We start from the raw sequence: 7,319 nt of genomic DNA on the forward strand, positions 1-7,319 counted from the left end.
TGTTTTGTAAATTACGTGTCAGTTAAGCTGAAGAACAAAAACTAATTTTAAAAAAATCTATCTTTCCAGGTTATTAAGATTTTGTCCCTAAAAATAATATAAGTTTTTGATAACTGAACTTCACAGTTATTAAGTTGACTTACTGACTTTTAGGAATTTATTTTTGGCATGCTAGTTTAAATCAATCATGACAAACTTTGGGCAGCAAAAGCCTCGTATTGTTCAGAGTCTGTGAGACAGGGCTCAGCCTAGAGGGGAGGGAGTGGCAGAGTATGGCAGGTGCTACTAAGTCCTACAGAAAGTAGCAAAGTCCAAGGTGGCAGAAAGCCAGAGCCCAGGAAAGACAGCTAAGGCCAGTTCTACATTATCATCTGTGACCAGGAATGGAGGCTGAGGATGACTTTCCAGGTCTCTCTGGGGTTCTGGAAAATGCAGAGGCCAGAGCCCACGTCAGTGTCCAAACAGTAAGGAGTCTGGGGCTCAGCCACAGAGCCTCCGAAAGTCTGGCAGCAACAGCAAGAGGGGCATTCTCAGCTTATGGAGATCCTGTACCCAAATCCCACAAATTCTGGTCTGTTCATTTCTGTCACTGAGAAAGGAATAGCACGTAAAACACATCACGCAAAATTAAAGATGGGTGCATATATTTCAGATTTCAACATTAGTGTAAAAAATACACACTATGATTTTACATCAGAACACCAGAGACAAACATCATGGATATTAAGGAAAACAAAATATTAAATAACTGAGAAATAAAATGAGTAAACACTAAGCTAATCGGGCTTTTTACTATTGCAACATGTCTAATGAAGTGGTTTCAACCATACAAAAAGGATCAGGACACGAGTATTTCCAGTCTACTTGGAATAAATGGATCTGATTCTATGAATCATTTAATAAAACCTGGTCCTGGATAACAGGACAGGATCCACTTCCCTGGTGGTTAACTTGGTACATTCTGTCCTACGCTAGTTTTTACTTTCAAACTTGAGTACTGAGCAAATACTTTAACCTGTCATTCCTTATCAACATCTTGGTGAAAACTGAGGGTTTGAGGGCAATTCACTTTCTGAAAAACGCAAGGCCCAGAGCCCATTCACTTATTCGTGTAGGGTCATGGGTACTAGTTCTGAATTTACAAAATGGAGTAAATGTATTAGTGTAGAACCAAAGGGCCTGGAAGCCAGATGCTCCAAGTCTATTTCTTGCATAAGGGATCTAGGAGGAAGGTAAAAGGAATTCTCTTTTCCTTCCTTAGCACCTGGGTTCTCAGTGGGTTTTCTATGAAGTCCTTGAATGAATGCTTATTAAAGCGCATTCTCATCCAGCCACAAAGCACCATTTCTAACCTCTACATGTAGACAAATTTTATTACCAGGACCAGTGTGGAGACAGGTGGCCATACTTTCTTCTTTCTGGTTATGCTCAGCCCATTCCATTCCGGCTTAGCTTGCAGGCATAGCTACCTCTTCCTTTAGAACCTCTGGGCCTGGAGGAACTCACTGGGCCTCCAGGTCTTAAGGTGGAGCACGGCCAACTTGGCTGGCTCGAGATGAGATTCCCATGTCTTTTATTTCCAAAGCAGTGGGGCCTGACATGAGTTGAGCTGCTCAATGTTCATAGACAGCTTTGATATTATGTGCAAAGATCTCTAAAGTATATCTTACACTTAAGTTACTTTGAGATTAATGAAAGTGCAAATTCCTATTGTTGTTTTACATCTGGCACTTTTCTAAGGGAGAAGGCAAGAGATGGCCCAGAAAAAGAAAATACACATTTAGAAATTGGCAACCACTTTTCTGTGGGAATGATCTTTTATTTTTCCTCATCCCCATCCTCAAATTATGGGACAGGAAGGGCGGGTGAGAGCTGTTCATGATAGGGTTTTGGAATAGGGTGAGGGTAGAAGGAGTTTCAGTTAATATCTTATTCCCTAGTTGAATCCTGGCAGCAGGGGAAGGGGGGAGGAAGATTCAGTGGTTGCTGCATCCATGCCAAGGTATACAATATATGGGTAGCCAAGGAGGTCAGTGAATGTCCAGATAGAAAATGCCATATCCGCATGAACATAACAAGTCAATTCAACATTCATGAAGCACCTATTGTTTTCAGGCTTGGGTGCTGCTATGGCAAATGTAAATATTCCCTGCCCTGACGATCACATAGTGTTATAGCCTGAATGCTTGTGCGCCCCAGAATTCCTATGTTGAAACTCTAATCCTCAGTGCAATGGTAGTTGAAGGTAAGGCCATGGAGAGGTAATTAGGTTTAGATGAGGTCATGAGGATAGGAACCCATGATCAGATTAGTATCCTTATAAGAGGAGGGAGATCAGAGCACTTTCTCTGCCACATGAGGACATGGTGAGAAGGTAGCTGACTGCAAGCCAGAAAGAGAGCCCTTGCCAGGAACTGAATCTGCCAACCCCATGATCTTGGGCTTCTCAGCCTCCAGAACTGTGAGAAATAAATTTCTGTCCTTTAAGCCACTCAGTCTATAGTATTTTATTGCGGCAATCCAAGTAGACTAAGAAATTACTACCAAGAAGTGGGTGCTGCTGTAACAAATAATGTGGAATCAGCTTTGGAAACGGATGATGTACAGATAATGGAGAAGTTTCAGATGCATGCTAACAATATGGACATGAAATGTGATTCTGATGAGGACTCAGATGGAAAAGAGAGGCTGGGCATGGTGGCTTACGCCTGTAATCCCAACACTTTGGGAGGCCGAGGCAGGTGGATCACCTGAGGTCAGGAGGTCGAGACCAGCCTGGCCAACATGGTGAAACCCTGTCTCTACTAAAAATACAAAAATTAGCCAGGCATGGTGGTGGGCACCTGTAATCCCAGCTACTCAAGAGGTTGAGGCCGGAGAATTGCTTGAACCCAGGAGGCAGAGGTTGCAGTGAGCCGAGCTCGCGTCATTGCACTCCACCTGGGCAACTGAGTAAGACTCCTTTGCAAAAAAAAAAAAAAAAAAAAAAAAATAGAAAAGAGGAGAGCTGTACAGAAAGCATCCATCTTCTTAGAGAATATATACATAATTATGAACAGAATGTTGGTAGAAATATGGAAGGTAAAGGTCATTCTAGTGAGGTCGCAGACAGAAGTGAGGAAAATGACATCGCACAATGCAGAAAGTGTTATCTTTGTTATACAGCAGCAAAGGATTTGCCTGACTTATGTTGACGTTCCAGTGTTTTGTGGAAGGTACAACCTGCAAGTGATGACATTAAGTACTTAGCTGAAGCAATTTCTAAGTAGTGTTGAAGAAGCAGTTTGGTTTCTCCTGATTGGTTGTAGTAAAATGCAAGAAGAGAGAAATGACTTGAAGACTGAATTATTAAGCAAAAAGGAACCAGAGCCAAAAGATTTTGAGATTCTCAGTCTATGTTGCAAAAAATAAGAAAACATGTTCAGAAGAGAACAAGGGTATGGCTGACCTACCATTTGATAAGGAGATTAGTGTGGGTGTGGAGCATGGACCTAACCAGCCATCTCAACAGAGATGGCCAGGAACAGAAATGGGATGATACCAACAGAAACACTGCCAGCTGACACTAACGACAGCAGAGGCCAGGCGCGGTGGCTCATGCCTGTAATCCCAGCACTTTGAGAGGCTGAGGTGGGAGGTTTGCTTGAGCCCAGGAGTTTGAGACCAGCATGGGCAACATAGGAGGTGGGGCAACAGGCCAAGTCATGGGAGTGACTTTGCCACCCCAGTGGTTCTGGAAGGTGAGACCACTGCTCCAGTGGGTCTGGAGGGCAGAGCATCAAACCAAAAAAGATTAATCTTAAGCCATAAACCCTAATGTGATTTGCTTTACTATGTTTTGGAACTGCTTGGGACCCATCATCCCTTTCTTTCCTCTGATTGCTCCCTTTTGGCATGAGGATGTCTGTGCCTGTTGCACCATTGTATTTTGGAAGCACGTAACTTATCTGGTCATAGGTTCACAGATGGACAGGAATTTTGCCCCAGGATGAATTGTATCTCAAGGAAGGGCATCTTGGGCTTAAGAGTTCCTAAATGCTTTCTGAGCTGGATATTAAGGGATGAATAGCAGTTAGCTACCTGAAGAGAAGGGGTGCAAGGAACAGCCTGTGACAAGGTCTGGAGATGACAAGAGGCCATGGCAAACTCATGGAGATGAGAATAGATGGCTACAGCCAAAGCCTATGGGTTGGGCATGGAGTGAAAGTGAAGGAGATGGTGAGAGATGAGACTGCAGAGGAACCAGAGTCTAAATCCTTAAAGACCTTGTACTTTATGTGGAAGAAAATGGACTTTTTTTCTAAGAGCAATGGGGAGCCATTTAACAGTTTCAGCTAAGGAGCAACACAATTAGAGTTTTATTTGACAAAACCCACTCTAGCTGTGGGGTATAGAAATGATTGCAGGTGGGGCCAGGCATGCTGATTCATGCCTGTAATCCCAGCACTTTCGGAGGCCGAGGCAGGCGGATCACCTGAGGTTGGGAGTACAAGACCAGCCTGACCAACATGGAGAAACCCCATCTCTACTAAAAACACAAAATTATCCGGGTGTGGTGGTGTGGTGGCGCATGCCTGTAATCCCAGCTACTCAGGCAGCTGAGGCAGGAGAATCACTTGAACCTGGGAGGCGGAGGTTGCAGTGAGCTGAGATCGCGCCATTGCACTCCAGCCTGGGCAACAAGACCAAAACTCTGTCTCAGAAAAAAAAAAAAAAAAAAGAAAGAAATGATTGCAGGTGGCCAAAATCAGAGGCAGAGGCAGGGGGAGCAGCAGGGCAGGCATCTGTGTTTGTGGGTGTGGCCCGCCTGGGACGTCTAGTGGCCCATACTGGAGAGGTGGCAAAAGGGATGGAAAGAAGTGGCCGGGAACCCGAAACCTGTAAATAGTTGAATCTACTGGAAGTGGTGACTGATTGGATGTGAGGAGTGAATAAGAAGGAGTTGTCCAAGATTCTGACTCAGATTTCTGGTTCAGACACCTGGATGGTTTGTGTCACTGTTCCCTGAAATCATGGCCACATATAAACCAACAGGTTTGAAGGGGAAGATGAAGGTTCTGCTCAGGAATTAATAAGTTTGAAATGAGTGTGGGGCAACCAGGAGGAAATACCTAGTAGGCAGGTGGTATAAGTGTCAGAAGCTCAAAAAGACATGCAGACAGAAGGCACAAACTTGGGTCTAAATCAGCATTCGAAAAGTCTTGAGAACTTTGTGCCAAGCACTGTTTTTAGAGAGTTGTGCTACCACAGCGGACAAAACACACAAAAGTTCTTGGGTCCCCATGGGGCTTATTTCCACACAGATGGTAACTGAAGATCTGCAGGGAGGCCTCCTTGCCCAGAGAGAGTGGTGACAGAAAAGAACTGAGCTAAGAATACTGGGAAGCAATAGAAATTAAAGGATGCACAGAAGAAAAGAATCTGGAAAATTGACTGACTGCCCTGAAAACTGCTAGATTCAAGATGGAGTGGGGGTGACAGGTAAGGCAGGGCCCCATGTGGGATGGGGAAAGAGCTAAGGCAGGATGGTCTTAGGATTCGAGAGCCCTGAACGTGCTTGAATGCCACCGGGAAAGAGCCCAGTGGGGAGAAGGGGTGCAGATACAGGAGCTGGCACTAGAGCAGGAGGGTAATTCGGAACAGATGTGGGGAGGTGCAGAGCAAGGTGGGAGGCAAGCCCCGCCCACTGTAGTAGAAGGGGGAGAGGATGTGTGGATACAGGAAGTTTGCAGGTGTGGAGCCAGTATGTTGGAGAATGCTCATCTGATGGCACCTGTTCCCTCTGTCGGGGACAAGGTCATCTGCCCACAGTAAATGAGAATGGAGTGGAAGTTTGAGAAAAATGGACAATGTTGAAATAGACACCATGGTGAATGGGGAGAGCAAGCTGAGAAGCCAAGGGGAGCTGCTGCTGGGAGGCACTGGGTTGGGGGCCTTGGTGGGGTGGTCAGATGAATGAAGGGCAATGAACCAAAGAACAGCAGGGTTAAAAAAAATGGATTTGAGTCAGTAGAATGTAGCTGGCAGTCAATGCTGTGGGCTCTGGTGTCAAAGTACTGGGACTCAAATCCCCAGTCTGAGCTTCTCAGGTGTGTGCACCATACAAGTCACGGTAAGTGAGTGGGGCAAGGGGCAGATGAAATGAGAAAGGGAATTTGTTATACAAAAACTGTGGGGCCCGGTGTGGTGGCTCATGGCTACAATCCCAGAACTTTGGGAGGCTGAGGCAGATGGATCACCTGAGCTCAGGAGTTCTAGACCAGCCTGACCAACATGGCGAAACCCTGTCTCTACTAAAAATATAAAAATTAGCCAGGCATAGTGGCACATGCCTGTAATCCCAGCTACTCAGGGGGGTGAGGCACGAGAATTGTTTGAACCCAGAAGGCAGAGGTTGTATTGAGCCGAGATCGCACCACTGCACTCCAGCCTGGGCGACAGAGTGAGACTCCGTCTCCAAAAACAAAACAAACATAACAAAAAAACAAACGGTTGAAGCTGAGAGCTACTTGGAGTTCAGTGATCACTTTGACACACACATGTATTTTTGAGAATGAGTTTCACTCTTGTTGCCCAGGCTGAAGTGCAATGGCGAGATCTTGGCTTATTGCAACCTCCGCCTCCCGGGTTCAAGCAATTCTCCTCCCTCAGACTCCTAAGTAGCTGGGATTGCAGGCATGTGCCACCAAGCCCAGCTAATTTTGTATTTTTAGTAGAGAGAGGGTTTTTCCATGTTGGTCAGGATGGTCTTGAATTCCCAACCTCAGGTGATCTGCCCGCCTTGGCCTCCCAAAGTGCTGGGATTCAGGAGTGAGCCATTGCACCCAGCCAACATATATTTTTAAATTTATATAATAAAAAGAAAAAATAAATCCTCCAGAGCCCCTATTACCCAAATGACACCCAAACTTGCAGAGCACAGCCATTCCTGGTCACATCAAGCTACCTGCCCTTCCCCTCCAGGCACCAACTACTTGCTGTAGGGGTGTGAGTCTGTACTGGTGCATGCTCCTCCCTCAGCTTTGGGGACAACCCCCTATCACCCCAATCATCACAGCTGTTGGTTGCCTTGTGTTTGCCCCTCCTCCCGGAGGGGAAGAGCACACCCCTGGAAGCCCTATGTGATGCTGCCCAGCCTTCCTGTCTGGGCGCCCACATTTTTCACAGCCGACCCGCCATACCTTGGATGCAGCTTCCATCCCCCTGGGCATCCTCTCCTCTGGCCAACCCTTCTGTAATGCTCCCCAAGTGTGGCTACCTCACCTGCCTGAAGCCTCCTGACTCAAGCTGGATAGGTGCAGCCTTGTCCTGGCACTTCC

Source organism: Homo sapiens, chromosome 2 (genome assembly GCF_000001405.40).
Source record: "Homo sapiens chromosome 2, GRCh38.p14 Primary Assembly".
Lineage (NCBI taxonomy): Eukaryota > Metazoa > Chordata > Mammalia > Primates > Hominidae > Homo > Homo sapiens.